Source organism: Homo sapiens, chromosome 17 (genome assembly GCF_000001405.40).
Source record: "Homo sapiens chromosome 17, GRCh38.p14 Primary Assembly".
NCBI classification, from domain to species: domain Eukaryota; kingdom Metazoa; phylum Chordata; class Mammalia; order Primates; family Hominidae; genus Homo; species Homo sapiens.
The window spans coordinates 57,692,883-57,715,075 of record NC_000017.11 but is presented as its reverse complement, the minus strand read 5'-3'; the positions used below and the strand labels follow the sequence as shown (position 1 = coordinate 57,715,075).

Sequence of the window (22,193 nt, the reverse complement as noted above, 5' to 3'; positions counted from 1 at the left end):
CTTTGCTGCTTTGATGAGTTTCTTGAGCAGAGTATATTTAGGAAGAGCAACTAGATTAGTCAAAACCCTCTTTAATTATTAGTGACACTGTGCAAACGACTCTATACGACTGGAATACCAACTACTTAACTCCCTGACCTTCGTATTCAAATAAACACATTTTATTATAGCAACATGCCTTCTGAGTCCACACACCATGGCAACTGCTGGCCTGAGGACCTGGCAATGGGACAGCTGGCATGTGGACTCCATTAAGGGTGGGATGACGGCCTTAAAGGTGTACGTTCCGCTTTCCCCATCTTCATCCCTGGACTGGCTCAGGGCCAGAGGATGCTCTGGATGTCCTGGAGCTAGAAGAATCAATTCTCAAATGAGGGGAAACGACTTGCCTAAAGTCATGCAGTGAATTAGCTACATGGCCGCTATGGCTCTGCCACCTGGATCTTCCACTCCAAAATCAGTTTTGCAGCAAAAGGCTGGGTCTCGCTCCTGTGGAAACTATGAAGGCGACGAGGTTCAATTCCAGCTTCCTCTTAGCCCTCACCCCTACCCAGGTATAGGAAGTTTTGTGTGGCTCCACTTCAGTGCTCTTCCTCCATGAAGCCTTGAGCTGTTTGGAAATCCCACCTACTCAGGCTCAGAGAAGGAAGGGTAGAGGAGTCGTTTCACCAGGGCTGCTGGCATCTCCTACCAGGGAAGGTGAAGGAGTGTCCCTTATGTTAATCCACTGCTGCACCAGAAACACAGGAGAAGACTTACCCAGGTCCCATCTCTGAATTCTTTTTTTTTTTTTTAATTTTCTTTTAAAAAGTATCTTAAAATCAGTTTATTTATTTTGAGACTGGGTTATGAGACTGGCTAATTTTTGTATTTTTGATAGAGATGGGGTTTTGCTATGTTGTCCAGGCTGGTCTTGAATTCCTGGGCTCAAGCAATCCACCCACCTTGCCTTCCCAAAGTGCTGGAATTACAGGTGGGAGCCACCGCGCCTGGCCCCCTTCCCTGAATTCTAACAAGTCAATGAAGGAGGCACTACCGCTGTATTTTCTAGGTGAAGAAACTAGAGCTCAGAGGATTTAAGCAATGTGCCCTGAAAAGCTCCTCCCTCATATGTCTACCTGGAAAATACCCCTGGTCTTTCCTGGTTCAAGTGTGACTTTCTTTGTGATGTTTGTCTGTGTGCTCTTCCCTCCACACAATCCCGGCATGGAGTCTACTCAATGGTGCTGACTTGCTTGTGATTTACCTCCCTGATTCTATGCCCTTTAAAAGCAAGAATTGGGTGGGTCTTTTCTATCTTCATCTCTTTAGATGCTGACTGGAAGCCTGGTTTGTATAAGTGCTCAACCACCATTGACAAAAACTTGAAATCGTTCTAGACAATCTTGATCATCTGGGTGTGCAATGCAATGCCACCTGTCCCAAGTCTGACCCTGCTGATTGGCAATTTGGAAGAAAAAAAAACAGCCTTAGTTCCCTGATACTACTCAACAAAACTTTTACATGTAAAAGGAAAATACGATAAGAAAAGAACTGTAGAAAATAAAGCTGAATATGTATCTCAACTCAACCAGAAAATGCCTTTTTCATTGTAGAAACCAAGGCAGAATTCATAAGAGATAGATTTGGCTATCAGTGGGATATAAATGGAAGTTGTGTGTGCAGCTTCTAGGTCCTGCCCTTCCAGAGAATTGGCCTTCCCGTCCCCTTTTCTCCTTGCTGGCCGGCGTGGGGCTGGGAGGGCAGAATCCGGCGCAGCTGTCTTGATTACAGGATGAACGCCATGTGTTGAGAGTACTGGAGAAAGAAGATCCTTTCGGAGCCATCACATCAGCCCTAGAGAGCTTATACTTGAAATATTAAGTGGTAATTCTATATTATTGCTATTTTAGGGTCTTTGTTACAGGACAAAGCCTGTATTTGAATTATATCATATCTTCATACTGATATGAAGAACTGAGAATCGGTGGAGTGTTGATATTGCAGAACATTAAGATTCTGGTGCCTACAATACTCTGGGCATGTTTAGGAACTGTTCAAATTCTAATAGAGGGAATTTGAAGATCTCTTTTAAGATATCTTGTTTTGTAGATGTCACTGGAACCATGCAAATATCCTTACAGTTGTAAAATAAAATTATTTTTACAAAGTAATCCATAAATTTTTTTCTAAAAAGCCTAAATCATGAAAGCAAAATTAAAAAGAGTAATCTATGTGTTAATTGGTATTGTAGCATAATTACACAGAAAGAACTATTTCAAGCAATTTAAAGACAAATTAATTTGATTATCATCCCAAGTGTGATATAGCCTAATAAAAATAACTGCGAAAAATTCTAGAACTGTTTATCAATATACGCACATTGGTGATGACAGCGCTGGTATTGTTAATCTGAGACTACTGGATATATAGTGCCATAAAGGAAGCGAATAATTATGTTGCTTTCATTGGGAATTTTGATTTTCAGTGTGAAAGAAAGGATATACAGATGTAAGACTGTTGAAGCTAAGGATAAGCTCTGTAATCCTGAATCTGAATTGGTAGTATCAATATGAATTCAAGAGATATGTCATTATTTTCTAGTTCTGTCCATGGTCTGATTATTTTTTATTCCATCAAAAAGACTATGGAACAATAGCCAACCCAGTAACAATGAACACCAGCTTATGGCCTCTAAGTACTGTTACCCCCCAAATGGGGATTTGGGCTTTTTGGAGAAATGACAGTTTCCAGTTTGGGGGTACAACACATACAAGATGAACCTAGAACATCTTGTTATATCAGAAGCCATCAAAGATTACTAGGGAGTAGCAACTTGAAGAGGTTCCTACTAGCCAAAGATAAGACAATTTGATCATCAGTAAAAATAAATGCACTGGACTGAAACACATCAAATATATTTCAATCCATGAGTTCATAATATTTTTTAAGAGGCAAAAGAAAAATCACTCATTGATCACTCTTGGAAGATGTTAGGGAACCTATTCATAATTTTAAAAACTAGAAAATAAGGCGAAAGAATCAAGTACCTGCTTTTCCTACATGAACCACAAAATAAATGAATGGTTGATGAGAAGGAGGAGCTCTTCGTACGAAGAATGAGAAACAGAGTAACATCATTTTCCAACTCTTAATGAAATGATGGATAATCGGTTATCATGTGCTATCTGGTGGAAGAACACAGCACTACATATGAAGTTTTATTGCCAAGAAACTGAACCTGAATGTTATGAAACATCTAGATTTAACGATCAATTTCTTGTGAAGGAGAAGGAAAAACATATTTAAGGACACTGTGGAGATGCAGTCCACAAAATCCCAGCTGTGAAAAGCCTAAAAAAACTAAGAACCCCACCTTTTTGATGAGCAAGGTAGATGTCTATGTTGGGGTAGGCTGGGGAGGCAGTGGCATTGGTGGCATCAGTCCAGGCTAGGATATCAGAGACTGAGAGAAGAATGGTGTCCTTATGGGGGGCAGGTGGCAGCAACCCAGGGTGGGTGTCAGAGCCCAAGCAGTGTAAAGAGAGTATTTACGAGTGCTTACATGGTGTGGCACAGGGGGTTAGAGTCCAAGGAAGGTGAGGAGTGTGTCCACATGGGAGCAGCATCCTGGTGAGGGGATGCAGTGGAGCATAATGTGTTGGAGCCAGAGGGAGCTAAAGGGAGCATCTACATGGGAGGGGTGGTGACAACTGTGGCCTCATGTGGGATTTTAAAGTCAAATCAGGGTAAGGAGAGTGTCCATGTGAGGGTCCCCAAAGGTGATGGGAGATGGGTTACACATTTGGGTTCATTCTATAAGCAAATATATTGAGGATAATGGGAGTCAGGACTCTCACTGTCTGAGAAGGAGTTACAAATATGGAAAAAAGGAACATAGGAATGAACTCTGTGGTGTTGGATTGGAATTAAAGGTGTTAAGATGAATTTATGATTTTCAACACATGTTTATATATATATGGATGTAAATGTGGGTATGAATGTGTATAAATACGTATCTATGTAGTGTATGTGTGAGAGAGAGAGAATGTTGTGCACGTGTGTATTTTTTAGCTCTGTCCATTGAGAGGGCCTAAGAGAAGTGATATCCCAATACCAATGAGCACATCTAGTATCCATATCTTCATTTCTAAAAACCATTCTCCACTAAAAAGAAGCCAAAACTCCTTGGAGAAATGGATGACTTTGGACCTTGGGCAGGCAAAGAATAAGAGGAGCTTAGAATATCTTGTGCCAGAAAAAAAAATGCTCAAGAACTGATGAGGATGTGTTGAAGGGACACAGAAGCCACCTTGAGGGGCTCCCACTGACTAAATCAGGGCGTATTTAAATATAAAAATAAATAGTGACAATAACCAATTATAATTCTTTAAATAATAATTCCCAAATCCATACTAATATAAAAAAATAAATTTCCCTTAGAATAAAATAACAACTAATAAGTGTAGGAGAAAAGATGCGACTAGAAAATCACCAGTTAGCACCATGAGAGTAACAATTCAGCTAGGGAGTATTCACTGATGCTAAACTTAGTGAGTGAAAGTTTGATGAGGAGTGGATATTTGTATACATAGTCTCAAAGTATCTCCCCAAAATATATTTATTAATCACGAAGAAAAAAAAGAGTAAAATTGTCCTGATACAACCTAGCATATTAAGTGATCAAAGTGAAAAATCACTACTAACAGGACAAACAGAAATTGTGTATCACCTAATAAGATGCAATGATAAGAGCACAGCCTCTCTTCTGTAATATTCCTGCTAAAAGGCACAGACTGACTCTAATCATGAGGAAACATCAGAAAATCCAAGCTGAGGGACCATTTTCATACTGCTATGAAGAAATACCCGAGACTGGGTAATTTATAAAGGAGGGAGGTTTAATTGACTCACAGTTCAGCATGGCTGGGAGGCCTCAGGAAACTTACAATCATGGTGGTAGGGGAAGCAAACACGTCCTTCTTCACACGGTGGCAGGAAGGAGAAGTGCCAAGCAAAAGTGGAAAAGCCCCCATAAAACCATCAGATCTTGTGAGAACTCACTCACATCAGAAGAACAGCATGAGGGTAACCACCCCCATGATTCAACTACCTCCCATCTAGTCCCACCCCGACACATGGGGATTATGGGAAGTACAATTCAAGATGAGATTTGGGTGGGGACACAGCCGAACCATATCAGGGACTTTGAAAAATAATGTGCCTATAATCTTCCAAAGTGCTAAGGTCATGAAAGTCAGTGAGGGTGATGAACTATTCCAGATTGAGGGTCACTAATGAGACATGACAATAAGACGTAATGCATGATCCTAGCTTGCATCTTTTGCTCTAAAGAACATCATTGAGACAACTGGTGAAACTTGAATGGGTCCATGGATTATCCAGAAGGAATGAATCAATGTTAATTTCCTAGTTTCATGGTTGTATTATGATTATGTAGGAGAGTACACACAAGTATTATTTGTATGTTTGTGTGTACCTGGAGTTGCCAGTGGTGATGGGACATCATGCCAGCCATTTACTCTCACATGGTTAAAGGAAAAAAGTTCTTTGTTACTATTCTTACAAAATTTGTTTGTAAATTTGACATTATTTTAAAATAAAAAATATCTTAGCATTAAAAAAAGCAAGCTGTTCATAATGACCAAAAAGTAGAAACAGCCCAAAAGTCCATCAACAGGTGAGTGGATAAATAAAATGTGGAATATTATTTGGCAATAAAAAAGAATGAAGCAATGATCCACGCTACAAGATGAATGACCCTTGAAAACATTATATACGAGTAAAAGAAGCCAGTCACAAAGAAGCACATATTGTATGATTTCATTTATATGAAACGTCCAGAACAGATATATCTATGGAGACCAGAAAATAGATGAGTGATTACCAGGGAATGGGGGAAGGGGGTAAATGGAGAATGAATGCTGATGGGTATGAGTTTCTTTTTGAGGAGATGAAAATGTTCTAAACTTGATTGTGGTTATAATTACACAAGTCTGTGAATGTACAAACAACATTGAATTGTATACTTGAAATTAAATGGGTGAATTGTATGGTTATAGAAATTCAATCTCAATAAATCCACTACCCAAAAAAAACTAGATACACATGATTTAGTATGTATATACATTCCAGTGGAATCCTAATCTGTGAGCTGTGAGAGCTGGTGGGAAAATGAACCTTCTACCAAATTTAGTTAAATTCAGCATGTATTTGTTGAGCACTTTTTTTTTCCCACCATGCTCTGTGCTAGGAGCTTGAGATTCAGAACTAGGAAGCACATGGCATCTTTGCCCTCCAGGAGCTCAGGCAGGTAAGCAGTTCCACTGCTGTGGGATTGTTGCTGTCACAGAAGGAAGTACAGGGGCTGTGGGGGCCCAGGAGGAGACACTCCATCTGACTGCAGCATCCTGGTAAGCTTCCCTAGGGGATATGACTTAGAGCTGAGCCAAGAGAGTGAGGAGGCGTCTGCTGGGTGGAAGAGGCTATTGCAGGGAAAGGATATTGCAGGCAGAGGAAGCAGCATGAACCACAGGATAGACACCAGGCACTGCACGATGTATTTGGGAAATGGCAAGTAGTTAGGTTGGAGGGGTGGGGCAGGTGGGAGGGTGCCCCAGGATGGAGGCCCTTGTGTGCCAAGGTAAAGGGAGGCCCTGATGGGCAGAATCCACCTTGTGGTCAGGAAAACAGCAAAAGAAGGTCATTTTCAGGTCCTGAATGCTAATAGAAGCAGGGAATTATGAGACAATTGACGGTGCCCATTGGAGCAGAGCAGGAGGCCACAGTCCTGAGACTGTCTGTCCCTCTGTGGGTTAACTGGCCCTGCCCCTGCTGCCCTGCTGAGCTATCCACGCCAAAGCCTCTTCTGTCACTGTGGATCACCCCCCCAGAATTCGGTCTTGCTAGCTCGGTTCCCTGGAGTCTGGCTGTCACTTGATTCCCCAGGAAGCCAGCTGCTGTGCTGTGGAGGAGGCGGGGAGCAGGGTTTCAGGGACGGATCTTCTTTGTGCAGAGCTCACATCCTGCTCCTGGCTCCAGATGGAAGTGTCAGCTCCCTCCCTAGCCAGAAGACAGGCTCTGAAGCTGTCAGGTCAAGCTGGCTCACCTCAGAGGCGCCTGGGAGGAGGGGAGGGGAAGAAGGGAGGCAAATATAGAGCCCCTTTGATTCTCTGCAGGAGCACAGCTCGAAGTGTCCCGGGTCAGGAGCGGGGTGGAGGGGAGGCTGCAGTGGGGCAGGAGGAGTTTGTATCTCAGGACTGTTCAGCAGAAGATTCTGAAGAATATTTACCTTCTCATGCCTCTTCTTCCTCACAGCAAAGCCCGAGGGACTCTTAGAAAACCTACCCGGTCTCCGGTATGGTTCGCATTATAATTCTCATTTCACAGAAGCAGCAGCTGAGCTGGTACAGATAGGTAAAGGTCAATAACCTGGCTTTAGACCCCAAGGGTGGCTGATTCCAAAGCCTGCATAGTGCAGGATACGGGACAGAAGAGATTTGAAGATCCTCCCAACTGAGGAGAACCAAGAGAAAGGTCACAGGAATTCTGAAAGCCATCAGCAGGCTCTGAAGGTACCCACAAATGCTTCATGGTGGGTAAGCCAGGGCTCGACCACCAAGAGTGGGCTAAAGAATGGCTAGATGGTGCATTCATCCATCCATTGCATACATTTTTATTTAGGGCCTGCCATGCACCAGGAACTGTTCTCAGCTAGCCCACAGCCTTGCAGGGTTCCAGGTGCCAGAGATACAAACTTGAATAAGTTACTGTGTGTACTTGTCTGGAGGCTGGGAGGGAGATGGGTGGGTAACCCCAAACCACAGTCCTGTGTTAGAAACTGCAGAAGTAGATGCAAGCACTATATTCAATGAGGGGCAAGTGAGGGTAGAGGCTCCCCAGGGCAGGCAGGCAGGGAGCTCAGGTAGGTACTCACTGCATTCTGGAACGTATCCCCATTCTGGGCTTGGTCACACACTTGATTTTGTCAGCACCCTGAGAGTAGATCCTTCTCTGCTCACTTATTGAGCACAGAAAATGGAGGGGCAACTCCAGAGGGCCGGCTCATTGACATCATCCAGATCTACCTGGCAGGCCAGATTATAACCAGAAGGATGCTTGGCACGTTTTCAATCAGAACAAGGGCAGCTGGATGGAGTAAATGTTTAACTGCATCAACGAAGGTCGGCGGGTGCATCTGCCTCCCAATAGGGAAGGTCTGAGCACAGAACAAGAATACTAGAAATCCATCAGCTGAGCCCTGCTTCCGTCTCCACCTTGCACATGCCCAGCCGACTGGTCGTGACACCTGAAGTTCATTGTTTAAGACTCCTCTCCCCAGGAGATGAACGCTGGCCTGGAGCCTCTCCTTTGGTCTTGCTTTCACGGCTAAATGACACTCCTCTCTGCCTACCTCCCATTTTATAGTTTGATTCCTCAAGAGAGATCTTGATCCCTTCATTTGCAAGCACTTTTAGGAAAGCCTCACAGTAACTAACCCTCCTATCAACACACCCAATAACCAATTCATCAAACGACCCACTCCACCAAAGTTACCAAATTAGAACTCGCAGGCGCACACCGCCCCCCGCCCCCACACACGCCTTGTTTCTTTTAGCTGTGGTCTTTACTGCAACTCTTTGTGAGAGAAAATTGTCCCACACCTTGTCTGTGACAGAATGGAGAACTGTTTTGTGTGACATGATCTACAGCCCTTGGGGGAGGTTAGATTTTTCCAGCACTGTTCCCTCGGTGCCTTTTCACCACACATTCCTTCATCACACCTGATCTAACAGTGTGGCTTAGACACCCTTCTCCTGCTTCTGATGTCTCTACCACAGAAGAAATCTCAGAACTGGCTTTCATGGAAGTAGCTCTTTTAATTGGCAAGTTTGAGATAAAACTCTGACAAGCTGTTGCAACCAACTCATCTGAATAGTCGCTTTGTCATCTCACGGGGTGGAAGAGCAGGCTCAGCAGGGCTGTGGGGAGCTGGGGCTCCAGTGTTCTGGAACCTTCAGACTCCTCTCACCCGTCATTCTCCCCAGTTTCTGCCTCCAGCCTCCCCACCCACCCCCCAATTTCCACCACATGTGCCTTTAGTCCCACTACCACGCTGAGCTGTGTGCTGATCTGAAACTGTCTTTCCTTAGCAGAGAGTCCCTTTTTCTTCCCAGAAACCTCCATCTATTGTGAGGAAGCCAAAGTAAATAAATGAAAAGTATATGACTACAATTCCATAGAAATCTTCCAAGGTTATTAAAATTCTTTCATTCAACACAGATAGCTGAAAACTTTTTAAATGATTATAAAAAGCAAGATTCTAGTGAACTTGTTTCTTTTGGCAGATTGGACATTTGGATGACTAGTCATTTGGCATAGTGGCCTGCTGCCACATGAAGTTGACAGACCTTGGATGGACATAGTGGGCAGGTGGGTGGGGAAGGCAGCCCAGAGAAGGGGCTGCTTGAGCTGAAGGAAGAGGAGCACCTCTATCTTGAGGCCACCTGGACTCAAGATTTTCAACCCAGGGTGCGACTCTCTGTTGTGTCCCCAAATGTAAGGTGGTTTGTTGTGAAGAAGAGTTCAGGTACCCAACTGTATCATACCCACTTTACACATACACTATTATGGACATCATGTGTGCCATACCTATACACTATAACGTGTATCACATATACGACACCTATACATATCCACTGTCATGCATTATTATTATTTTATTTTTTGAGATGGAGTTTTGCTCTTGTTGCCCAGGCTGGAGTGCAATGGCGCGATCTTGGCTTACTGCAACCTCTGCCTCCGGGGTTCAAGCGATTCTTCTGCCTCAGCCACCCTGGTAGCTGGGATTACAGGTATGCGCCACCATGCCCAGCTAATTTTGTATTTTTAGTAGAGATGGGGCTTCTCCATGTTCGTTAGGCTGGTCTCAAACTCCCGACCTCAGGTGATCCGCCCGCCTCAGCCTCCCAAAGTGCTGGGATTACAGGCATGAGCCATCGCGCCCGGCCTATCATGTGTATTATATGCACTATACCTATACGCTGTCATATGTATCATACACATATACCTCCTATGTGTCATATGCACTATACCTGTACATTATTATATGTATCATATGTATCATATCAGGAGCAGCACTGTCATTTACTTGCTTTCCAGTGTGCCTTCCTGGGAGACCCAGCTGTGGAGTTACAGCTCACAGAGGTGACTGGGTCCCAAGGAGTAGGTCAGGTGGGTGGATGCCAACCTGTCCTTCTGTTGTGGGTGCTTTGTGTGAGGCATAATAAAGGATGAGTATGGAGGTTTTAGGTGGCTTGAGGCAGGAAGGCCAGTCAGTTGCAGGGATGGTGAGATCTGTGCTGTATCCATGGCACTGTTTGTACTGGAGAAGCTGGAGTTCAAGATGCCAGGCTGGAGAGGTGGCAGGCAATGAGGCTGGAGCGCAGACAGGGGCTGGATTGGAAGGGTCTGGAAGCCTTCCTAGGGAGGCTGGCAGTAGCCTGTGAGCCTGTGTTTCTCAACTCTATCAGACCCAACACTCCCTTTATATAAAAACATGTTTTAATGCCCCCTTTTCTATCTTGAAAGAAAATCCACAAATAACTTATGTATACATGTATTTTCAAAAAAATCAGTATAATAATCCTTAATATAAAGGAGAAATGTAAAGTAAATTATTTAATAAAATAATATTTTTTTTGTTTTTTGTTTTGTTTTTTGAGATAGGGTCTCACGCTGTTGCCCAGGCTGCAGTGCAGTGGCATGATCACATGCAACCTCTGCCTCCTGGGTTCAAGCGATCCTCCCACCTCAGCCTCCTGAGTAGCTAGGACCACAGGTGCGCTCCACCATGCCCAGCTAATTTTTGTATTCTTTGTGGAGACAGGGTTTCACTGTGTTGCCCAGGCTGGTCTCAAACTCCTGGGCTCAAGCGATCCACCTGCCTCGATTTCCCAAAGTGCTGGGATTACAAGCATGAGCCACTGCACCCGGCTTAATAAAATAATATGTATTTTAATATGTAAATATTTGGGAATGACTGTGCTAGAGGACATAATAAAATAGTCAGATGCCTCCTCCTACATGTGCAGTCATAGTGAATGTGGCACTCTAAGTGCAGACAGATACCAAGGGCAATTTGCTGTTGGTAACTTGATTTTCTGAGATGGCGAATAACTCTTGGTGAAGTTCTAAACAAAATATAGCATGCTTTTAATTTATGTGGTCGTTACACTCCTGCTAAAGTCACTGTATACTGAAATTATGCAAAAAATGTTTTGAGTTGACTGTCAAATAAAATTAGGCAAAAGGCCCAGATTATTATAGATTGATTTTTCATCTACATGGATATCGTGTGGGTCCCTTGAAGGGTACAAGGGACCTAGGACAAGTTGTCTTCATGTGGGATTGGCCCACACATTTTAGGCATCCTCATCTCTGGCCCTGCCCCCTAAATGGTGGCAGGGGTCTCCCATCATTGTGACCATCAAGATGCCCCCAGAAACTTCCAAATGCCAATGTTGAGAACCTCTCTGTGGGTATGGGGAGCTAATAAAGAGTTTGAGGGGCAATGTCATGGTTGGGCTGGTAGTGCAAAATGCCCACTCTGGCAGTGGTGGAGGGATGAGTGGGGCTGGGGAGGACATTAGTGGCTATTGTATCACTTGAGAGGTCAGCAGAGGGAGGGCACAGGGGTAGGCCCCCAATCTGCAGTAGAGCCCTTCAAGGGTCCCACACGATATCCATGTAGAGAAGAAACCAATCTATAATCATCTGGGCCTTTTGCCTAATTTTATTTGACAGCCAATTCAAAGTAATTTTTGTGGTTGGGTATGGTAGCTCATGCCTATAATCCCAGCACATTGGGAGGTCGAGGCTGGAGGATCACTTGAGGCCAAGAGTTTGAGAACAGCATGGGCAACATGTGAGACCCCGTCTCTAAAATAAACATTAAAAATATTTTTTAAAGTATCTTTTGCATAATTTCAGTACATAGTGACTTTTTCAAGAGTGTAACTACCACTTAAATTCAGGGAAGAGCCTCTGGATTCCTCAAATCCTCAGACAGATGGGCCCTGGACAAGTATGGGGTGAGGGGCAGTCAAGGATGGGGTAGGGGTAGAATTTGGGCAGGGGCAAACAGAGATAGTCACTTTGGCCTGCAATGCCACAGAGCCAGGACCACTGGGTCCTTTGATAATGGAGCCTTTGGCCCTTTCTTTATTTTTATTTTTTGAGATGGAGTCTTGCTCTGTCGCCCAGACTGGAGTGGAGTGGCACCATCTCGGCTCACTGCAATCTCCACCTCCCAGGTTCAAGCAATCCTCCTGCCTCAGCCTCCCAAGTATCTGGGATTACAGGTGACTGCCATCACGCCTGGCTAATTTTTGTATTTTTAGTAGAGACAGGGTTTCACCATGTTGGCCAGGCTGGTCCTGAACTCCTGACCTCAAGTGATCCTCCCGCCTCGGCCTCCCAAAGTGCTAGGATTACAGGCATGAGCCACCGCATCTGGCCGCCTTTGGTCCTTTCCCTAGGTCTCTGCACTGGCTGACTCGGGACAACCCTACCCCTGTCCCGCCTTCTATCCCTAGCTCCAATGCACAACTTCCTTCCCAGCCTTCTCTCTCCTGGGGAGGGGAAAGGGGATGTGCAGTGCAGGTAGGCTGGGCTATGCAGCTGCCCCTGTAACTCATTTTTTACGTCTCAGGGCTGGAGGAGCTGCCCTGTGGTCCTGCTAATGTCCGAGTGTTTGAGCATCTCCATTTCCTCTAGTTGGCTGGGTTGGCAGGGGATGAAGGTGGAGGTGCTAGCCTCAGGTGGTTCTCAGGCAGACTTTCCAGGCTGGCCAGCGCCATCTGCTTGACCCGGCTGCTGGGAACCACTTCTGGGGCATACCCAGGAGAGAGCCTCTGGCCTGAATGGTACCACACTAACAGACAGCTCTTTTGTTCCTTACTTATTGCCCCGCTTCCACATGGGGGTGTATTCAAAGAGGTTTCTACAGTCAAATATTACTGAAAGGTAATTTATGTATTTATTTTTATTTTTGAGATGGAGTCTTGTGCTGTCGCCTGGGCTGGAGTACAGTGGTGCAATCTTGGCTCACTGCAACCTCTGCTTCCCGGGTTCCAGCGATTCTTGGCCTCAGCCTCCCGAGTAGCTGAGATTACAGGTGCCCACCACCATGCCTGGCTAATTTTTTGTGTTTTTAGTAGAGACAGGGTTTCACCACATTGTCCAGGCTGGTCTTGAACTCCTGACCTCAGGTGATCCACCCGCCTCAGCCTCCCAAACTGCTGGGATTATAGAGGTGAGCCACCGCGCCTGGCCCTTGAAAGGCAATTTAAATATTTCCCGAAGTGATTCAAAAAATTTCAATTGGTGATTCTATCAAAATTTTCTCTCACCAGAGAGCTAGAGAGAGAGAAGGAGAGAGCAAGCATGTCTTTGTCTCTTCAGACTGCTAAAACAGAGTACATTAAGACCGGGTGGCTTAAACAACAGACATTTATTTCTCACAGTTCTGGAGGCTGGGAAATTCAAGATCAAGGTGCCAGTGGCTTCAGTGTCCGGTGAGCACCCGCTTCCTGGTTCACAGGCAGCAATTTCTCACTGTTTTCTCAAATGGCAGAAAAGGGGCAAGGCAGCTTGTTGGAATTTCTTTTATAAGGGCATTCTTCCTATTCATGAGGGCTCCACTTTCATGACCTAATTACCTCCCAAAGGCCCCACCTTCGTATACCATCAAATTGGGGATTTAGGCTTCAGCATATGAATTCAGGAGGGTATGCAAACATTCAGTCCACAGCAAAGCATGCGGGCTTCTTAGGTCTCATAGCAACCTAATGGGGGAGATGTCATTATTCCCACTTCATGTGCACGTACACCTGTATATTTACAATCATGGCAGCTGCCTCCTAACACTCTACTTCCTTCTAAACCCAGCTCTGGTCTCCCCCTGACCACCTTACATATCTGTTCATTTCTCTTTTACCTATTCAAGGGGATTAAACTCTGTCTGGGGCTCTTGGGCCTTTTCCGGGGAGGACAATTCTCATCTTCACCCTTCACTCCAAATCTGCTCAACTGAGGCCCAAGTTAGCAAAGACCAAATTCTCCTTGGGAAGTGTGGGAGCAGGCTGACATTATTAAATTTTTTTTTTTTTTTAAGACAGAGTTTTGCTCTTGTTGCCCAGTCTGGAGTACAGTGGTATGATCTCGGCTCACTGCAACCCCCGCCTCTCGAGTTCAAGCGATTCTCCTGCCTCAGCCTCCTGAGTAGCTGGGATTACAGGCAGCTGCCACCACGCCCAGCTATTTTTGTATTTTTAGTAGAGATGGGGTTTCACCATGTTGGCCAGGCTGGTCTCGAACTCCTGACCTCAGGTGATCTGCCTGCCTTGGCCTCCCAAAGTGCTGGGATTACAGGCATGAGCAACCGCGCCCGGCCCAGGCTGACTTTTTGATAGGGTCATTCATTGCTTGTGGTGAGGTCAATGTTATCCCAGTTAGACCTATCACACCAGGCTTCCACATGCCCACTGACACACATGGTCATACCTGCACTCTCACAGAAGCATCCACTTATGCTGTTTCCTGCCATTTCCGTCACCTAATTCTTTGATGAGCACTTTTATGCTTCTTCAATATCAAGTTCTGATATTCATGACCATGACTCTGATTAGTGCGAGACTTCAAAGCACCTATTGAATCATTAAAGAAAGATTAAATTATGTTCAGAATAGCTGAGCTAATTCAGGTTCTCTGAAAATTGGCAATACAATACATTTCTACTTTACACAAGCCGGCATATTCAGATTAAACCCACATAAAAGCACAGCCGAGCTAGACCACTTTGAATAGGCTGTGAGTCCACAGGAGCCCATAAACACACAGGCACATCTGGGAATGAAGCAAAAAGCCAGAGTCCCATCCAGCCAAATGCTGTCACTACCCCGTAAATCTCCCAGAAATTCAAACAGCCGTTAACGTTTGCCGACATAGTGAGTGATGCTTTCATAATCACTCCCATCTATCTGGGCTTGGCCATGGATGGGGTCATTTGGTTAATGCAGGATTTCATCTTCATTGCTTTGTAACTAGTTTTTAATCAGCGATGATTGCTGAGCTGGGATGCTATGGGCTGGCTCGCCTGCTCCTTCCTCAGAGAGTGCCCACTGATGTGTCCTGGCAATTAACCAGAGACCTGTGGGAGGGGTGGCGAGGGCAGCAGGACAGCCAGGCTGGCTGATGCGGCCATGTGCCCCATCCCCTCTTCCGTGGGGGGTGCTCCTTGGCCCCCATCCACCTTTGGAGGGTTGGCAAAGGACATCGGCAGACACAGGGATGCTCTCACAGAAGTGTCTATTTGGACTATTGCTTTTGACTTGCCCAACAATTTAATCTCCCAGGGGGTAGAGAAAATGACCAGTGGATCAGCCACTCTGAAATCAATTCTGACCATCAAAGAACTGACCAGCCAACTGGAAGTGATAAGAATCTTGAGGGAAAGGGTATAATATTATACCCTTTATAACACTGAACGAAGGCTTAGCACGTGGAAGTATCTCTCAGACTTGAGGGAGGCAGAGCGCAAGACATTCAGAAAATAATATATAGTTATTCCTTCACATGACAAGATTCTGAAAGGGAGGATGGCATGAGAAGGTGAGAAAGGTCTTACCAATGCAATTCTGATTGGGCCACTCTCAAATGACTCTAGTGAGGAAGACGTGGAGAGTGTCCCTCATGGTCCCAGTGATGGCTGAGCTTACACACTCTCTCTCTCTCTCTCCCTGGCTCTTCCTCATTAGGGTCATTTGAGAGTGGCCCAATCAGAAGTGCATTGGTAAGACCTTTCTCACCTTCACACACACACACACACACACTCTCTCTCTCTCTCTCTCTCTCTCTCTCTCTCTCCTCGCCTCTTCCTCATTAGAGTCATCTGAGAGTGGCCCAATCAGAAGTGCATTGGTAAGACCTTTCTCACCTTCACACACACACACACACACACACACACACACTCTCTCTCTCTCTCTCTCTCTCTCTCTCTCCTCGCCTCTTCCTCATTAGAGTCATCTGAGAGTGGCCCAATCAGAAGTGCATTGGTAAGACCTTTCTCACCTTCACACACACACACACACACACACACACACACACACACACACACACACACTTCCTTGTATCTATTTCTAGAATCTTTTACAAGAAACTGAAGAGAACAATTGCCTCTGAGGAGAGGAACTATGCTGCTGAGGGGTGGAGAGAGAAGGGAACTTTACTCCTTGTATCTTTTGAATTTTGAAACACGTGACTTGACTGTATTACCCATTCAAATGAATACATGAAAAGGCAACAAGGGGCATTGATAGGAGATGGAAAGAGGGCCATAAACTCAAGAGAGCATGTAAGAGGGCAGCCCAGACCCATAACAATAAACCCAAGACAGCGGAAGGCCCAGCAAGCAGCCACGGAAGGCGCACCCTGCACTTCACACAAAAGGCTTTTGTAGGGATATTCAGAGCAAGACAGAGATCAAAGGAAAAACGGGCCTGCTACTGGGGTCATGTTATCAGATGACACTGGAGGTGTCCTGGGAGCTGAGGAAAGGCAGAAGTGAAGACAGGGAGGCTCAGCCTCACATAGCTGAGGCAGGGATGGGCCAGGGAGCCACCGAGGAAAGGTGCTCCCTGTTGGAACACTCTGGTGCCCCACAGCGTGCGGGCACAGAAAGTGGGCAAGGGAGGGAGGAGGGTCCTTGACAGCGGATGGGACATGTCAGCCTTCTTTTCTGCTGTACATTGACCTTTGTTCACATCCAACCAGGAACAGGCAGAGCTGTTCCTGCTCAGAGAGAGGGTGGAGACAGGAAGATCCGGTCTGTCCTCAGCCTAAGAGGCTGGTCCAGTGCCTGTCGATTTGCTGAGTGAGGAAGAGAGCCTTGAAGAAGGGAAGAGTGACAGGAAGGTGGGAGGGCAGAATCCTGCTGAGAGGGTGTCTGTGGGAGAGTGTGGCAATGTGTGGTAACAGTGAGCAAGCCAGAGACAGGGAGGTGAGCAAGTGTGACAGCCGTGAGTGTGGGAGGCAGTGAGGGAGGGAGTGAAGGCATGGGTATGATTCAAAGTGGGCATGAAGGAGGGGTGCAGGTGCCCGAGTGATATGGTTTGGCTGTGTCCCCACCCAAATCTCATATTGAATTGTAGCTCTCATAATTCCCACGTGTTGTTGGAGGGACCCAGTGGCAGATAATTGAATCATGGGGGCGGTTTCCCCCGTACTGTTCTCATGGTAGTGAATAAGTCTCAGGAGATCTGATGTTTTTATAAGGGAAACCCCTTTTGCTTAGCTCTCATTCTCCCTTGTCAGCCACCATGTAAGATGCACTTTTCACCTTCTACCATGATTGTGAGGCCTCCCCAACTACGTGAGACCGTGAGTCCATTTAAAACTCTTTTTCTTTATAAGTTACCCAGTCTTGGGTATGTCTTTATCAGCAGTATGAAAATGGACTAATACACCGAGTGACTGAATGATGGGTAGGGCGACTTCAAGGGGGTGGGAGTGTGAGGGAAGCAGTGGGAATGTGGGAATGGCAGGATAAGTGTGAGAGCAAGAGTGTGAGAGAGCGAGTGTCTGCGAGTGAGGGGGAGAGAGTGTGGGCGAAGACTGAGCAGGAGTGCGTGAAGCTGTGAGAACGTGGGAGTGGGAGTGGCCATGGGTGTGAGTGAGAGGGCTGAGTGTGAGTAAAGTGAGTGTGAGTGGGTCCATGTGAGTGTGTAGAGTGTGTGAGGGGTGTGAGTCTCAGAGGGTGTGTGAGACTGTGAGGGCACAGGGGAGTGTGGGTGTGAGTGTGGGAGTGTGCAAATGAGAGAGGACTTGACTGTGCATATGTGAGGAGAGAGCCTGTGTGTGTGTGTGTGTGTGTCCTGCTGGCGAGGATGAAGACAGGCTGTTGATGGGGTGGGTCTGACCAGGTACTTCCCATCTCACTCTCACCACATCCCCTAAGGACCTTCCATGGTCTAAACCTCACACCCCCTCCCTGGCTTACAGTGAAGCTACAGAGATAGCTCTGGTCCCATGGAATATTCTCCTAAGCTCATCATGCTGTGTATTAAGTTGCTGATGTATAGCAAATGAGCAGAGAAGGTATGCAATGTAAAAGAGGAGAGTCTAGAGTGTGCCAAGAGTTTGGGGAAGAAGGATGGGTAGGACTGGGTGAAGGAAGAAAGGATAGCTGATCACATCACCCCTTTACTCAAATCCATATTACCCCAGTGCCCACTGACCAAATGCCTAATTCTTTATTTATTTTTAAAATTGTTTATTTTTTAGAGATAAGGTCTTGCTCTGTGGCCCAGGCTGCAGTGCAGTGGTGCCATTGTAGCTCACTGCAGCCTTGAACTCCTGGGCTCAAGTGATCCTCTTGCCTCAGCCTCCCAAGCAGCTGGAATTACAGGCACCTGCTGGCATGCCTGATTAATTTTTAATTTTTTTGTAGAGATAGGGGTCTTGCTATGTTCCCCAGGCAGCCTGGAACTCCTCAAGAGATCCTCCTGCCTTGGCCTCCCAAAACATTGGGATTGCTAGCATGAACCACTGAGCCCAGCTCTAATTCTAAAAACTTTAATATGACTTTCAAGATTTTAGGTAATCCTGGGGAGTGAATGTGACTTTTACTATTTTACATAATAAGTACTCAATAAATGTTTGATTGCTCTGGTTCCATGGTCTGTCTTGGCTGGAGAGGGTTCCTCTCAGCTCCACACTCAGCCTTCCACACTCTGCCGTGACATTGCCACTTTGCCAGCTGGATCCATGCCAGGCTCTCCCAACATGGCGGGAGGAGGGAGGAAGGACATCCTTCTTCCTGTCTACTTACTGCTCCAGGCAGCATGCCTCAGCAGTGGGTCTTCACCTAGTAGTGACAATAGGTTCCAGTTTCCAGCTTTTTTGGGGGGGTGTTAGGAACCGAATATTCATGTCTCCCCAAATTCCTATTTTGAAACCCTAACCCCCAGTGTGGCTGTATCTGGAGGTGAAGCCTCCAAGGAAGTAACTAAGGTTAATGAGGTCATAAGAGTGGGACCATGATCCGATAGGATTAGTGTTCCTATAAGAAGGGACACCAGAGAGCTCTCTCTCTCTCACCACACACACGCACAGTGAGGAGAGGCCGTGTGAGGAAACAGTGGAAAAGGTGGTCATCTACAAGCCAGGAAGAGAGCCGTCACCAGAAGCCAGAACAGTCAGCGCCCTGATCTTGGACTTCCAGTTTCTAGAACTATGAGAAAATAAATGTCTGTTGTTTAAGCCACCCAGTATATGGTATTTTGTTATGGCAACCACAGCAGACTAATATAGGGGGTATCCCTAGAATCACCCTTGTGATGCCCTCAGAGGTTTTTAATCGAGTCCTTATGTTAATTTATCTCTGTTCACAGAGAGCTCTGCTTCTGGTTTCCTGATGAGACCCTGACTGATCCAGAAGAGACGGTGCCTATACTAGTCAAGGGCAGGAACCTCCAGGCTGAGGAGCTGGACTCTGTACCTGTCTTCTTTGTCTCACTGCATCGGGCTGTGCCCTGAGCCTCATCTTCAGAAAATGGAGGGAAGTAAGTCCTGGGTGACCGCAGGATCCCTGTAGCACAGCTCCCCCAAGGTCTTAATGAAGTGCCATTACACCTCTCAGCTAATATAATCCCCAGGAAAGGGGCAGGGCAGACAGATGGCAGAGAGGGAGACTGAGTCATACTCACTAGCTAGGCCACACAGCTAGTTAGAAATAGAAGCAGGCCTGGGACTCTTCCTCCCAATATTCCGCCCCCTTCCACAAAGACCCAGAGGCTCCCTGCCTCCTCCCTACTTTTAATTCGAAAGGTAATAGTTCCCACACTATTAACTAGCTGTGTGAACTTTCTCATGTTACTTTTCTCTGAGCCTTGGTTATCTCATTGGTTAAGTGAAGCAGGTAAACTAGATGTTCTCAAAGTGCTTTTTCAGCTATGACATGCTGTGATTTGATGATTTTTCCTCAATGAAACCAAAGGGTTCAATTTATCTCCCCGAAGATTTTCTATGTTCTATGCTCAGCTTTTGATTTGACATAATTATAGCACTTACATTTAGTGCAAATTCACATAATCATTGCATGAGTTATTAATTATTTTTAAGCATTGGCATAGTACTCACTGAACCTGAGGATGTACACATTGGTTAGGACCAGGGGTGAGTTAAGCAACCAGAGGTCTGGGACTGCAGTTAACCTATCAAGCCAGGGAGTTCATGGAACTTAAGTCTGGTTAAACCAAAAAGGGGCCAGGGATTCTAAGGCCATGTTGTGTACTGATGAGCTACTTTAATCTGCCTAATCCTACAGAGTGATGTACAGATCTGTGATAGGTTTAGCATGAACATACTTTCAATGTATGTCTTAATTTTGTTTGTGCTTAGCCTTCTAAAAAAAAAAGGTATTTTGCCAAAAAGTGGCAAAACTGTTAATTAGCCCATTCCCCACAGCCTGGAAAAACATGGAGCTTACACTGGGTTTTGTCCTCCATGTAACAAAAGCCTTAGCTTTCGGGAGGAGGGAAGGAAACCATCTGGGACCAGACTAAGAGGAATCTCCTTCTGCTGGGAGACGGGCAGATCACAACACCCAGGGACAAGGCTAAGGCACAAGCACACAAGGAAGGCCTAAGGCTAAGAGTGAAGCAGAAACACTGAGAAAAACCCTCTGGCAACCCAGCCTCCATCTTAAGAATAAGAAAATGCTAGAGGAATTTAAAGCTGGTGGTGCACTGAAGATAAAACCCAAACCTAGAGCAGCAAAACCCAAATCCAAGTCAACTTCTGACTAGATTGACTCAACCACCCACATCAAGGGGCAAACTTTGTCTACAAAGGACCAGTATATAGCAAATATTTTAGGTGTTGTGGGCCATGTGGGCTCTGTTGCAACTATTCAACTCTGCTGTTGAAGCATGAAAGCAGCCATAGACAATATGTAAATGAATGAACATGGTTATGTTCCAATAAATCTTTATTTATAGACACTGAAATTTGAGTTTTATATAATTGTCTTATGTTGTATAATTACTATTCTTCTTTTGATATCCATTTGACACATTTAAAAATATAAAAACCATTCTTAACTCATAGGCCATACAAAAATAGGCAACAGGCCTGATTTGGCCCAAGGACCATAGTTTGCAGATCCCTTGCCTAGCAGAAAAAGAGGCATGCATATTTACTACAGCCTTTACTGTTCTAAAGATGTTTTGCTTTCAATCAAAAGTCATGAGACACCAAACACAAGACCAATAACTCACTGTCAAGAAACAAAGCAGTCAACAAAACCAGATTCAAATATGACCCAGATGTTGAAGCCATCACATAGGAAACTTAAAGTAACTATGCTTACTATATATTAAAGGCTAGAGTGGAAAAGATGAACAACATACATGAATAGATGTAGAGTTTTAGTAGAGAGAGGGAAACTACAAGAAAGAGTCAAACAGAAATGCTAGGAGAAAAAAGTGACAGAGACAAATACTTTTAACTAGCTGATCCGTAAACTTGATACAATTTAAGAAGGAATCAGTGAACTTGAAAATAGGTCAACAGACTTTGGGAGGCAGAGGCAGAGGCAGGTGGGCCAGGAGTGTGAGACCAGCCTGGCCAACATGGTGAAATCCCATCTCTACTAAAAATACAAAATTTCGCCAGGTGTGGTGCACACACTTGCAATCCCAGCTACTCGGGAGGCTGAGGTGGGATGATTGCTTGAACCCAGGAGGTGAAGTTTGCAGTGAGCCAAGATCGCGCCACTGCACTCTGGCCTGGGCGACAGAGTGAAATTCTGTCTCAAAAAGAAAAGAAAAAAGAAAATAGGACAATAGAAATTGAACAAATTAAACACAAGGAGAAAAAAAGAGTTAAAAAAAGAGTACCCAAGAGGTGTGGAAGAATATCAAATGGTCAAACATTCTGTAATTGAAATCCCAGGAAGAGAAGAGAAAGAGAATGGGACAGAGGAAATATCTGAAGAAATAATGGATGAGAATGTCTCCAAAATAATGAAAGACATGAAACCACAGAAAGAAGTTCAAAGAATCTCAAGCAGAATAAATTAAACAAAGAGACAAAACAAAGAGAAAAAAAAAAAAAGCCCATGCATTCATCTA

General features: G+C 45.2%; 1 protein-coding gene across 2 annotated transcripts in view, besides 1 other annotated feature; it reads right to left on the bottom strand.

The window, feature by feature from the left end:
- Nucleotides 6,845-7,345: an enhancer, noted in NCBI's record as "H3K4me1 hESC enhancer chr17:55785092-55785592 (GRCh37/hg19 assembly coordinates)". NCBI's record gives its function as "activates a minimal SCP1, AML or CMV promoter by ChIP-STARR-seq in naive H9 embryonic stem cells {active_cell/tissue: H9 hESC(naive)}" and the evidence as "EXISTENCE:reporter gene assay evidence [ECO:0000049][PMID:30033119]".
- The window catches only part of MSI2 (musashi RNA binding protein 2), a 445,731-nt gene continuing 437,032 nt past the window's right edge, over nucleotides 13,495-22,193 (bottom strand). Inside the window, exons 12-13 of one of the 2 annotated variants that reach the window (XM_047435314.1) lie at nucleotides 14,566-14,708; nucleotides 13,495-13,847 (exon numbers count right to left, since the gene is read on the bottom strand). In XM_047435314.1, coding sequence (XP_047291270.1) covers nucleotides 14,614-14,708 — 95 coding nt within the window. In that variant the 3' untranslated portion in view covers nucleotides 13,495-13,847; nucleotides 14,566-14,613. Of the gene's footprint in view, nucleotides 14,709-22,193 lie in introns of both variants that reach the window. The other variant, XM_047435313.1, reaches the window with a different exon arrangement.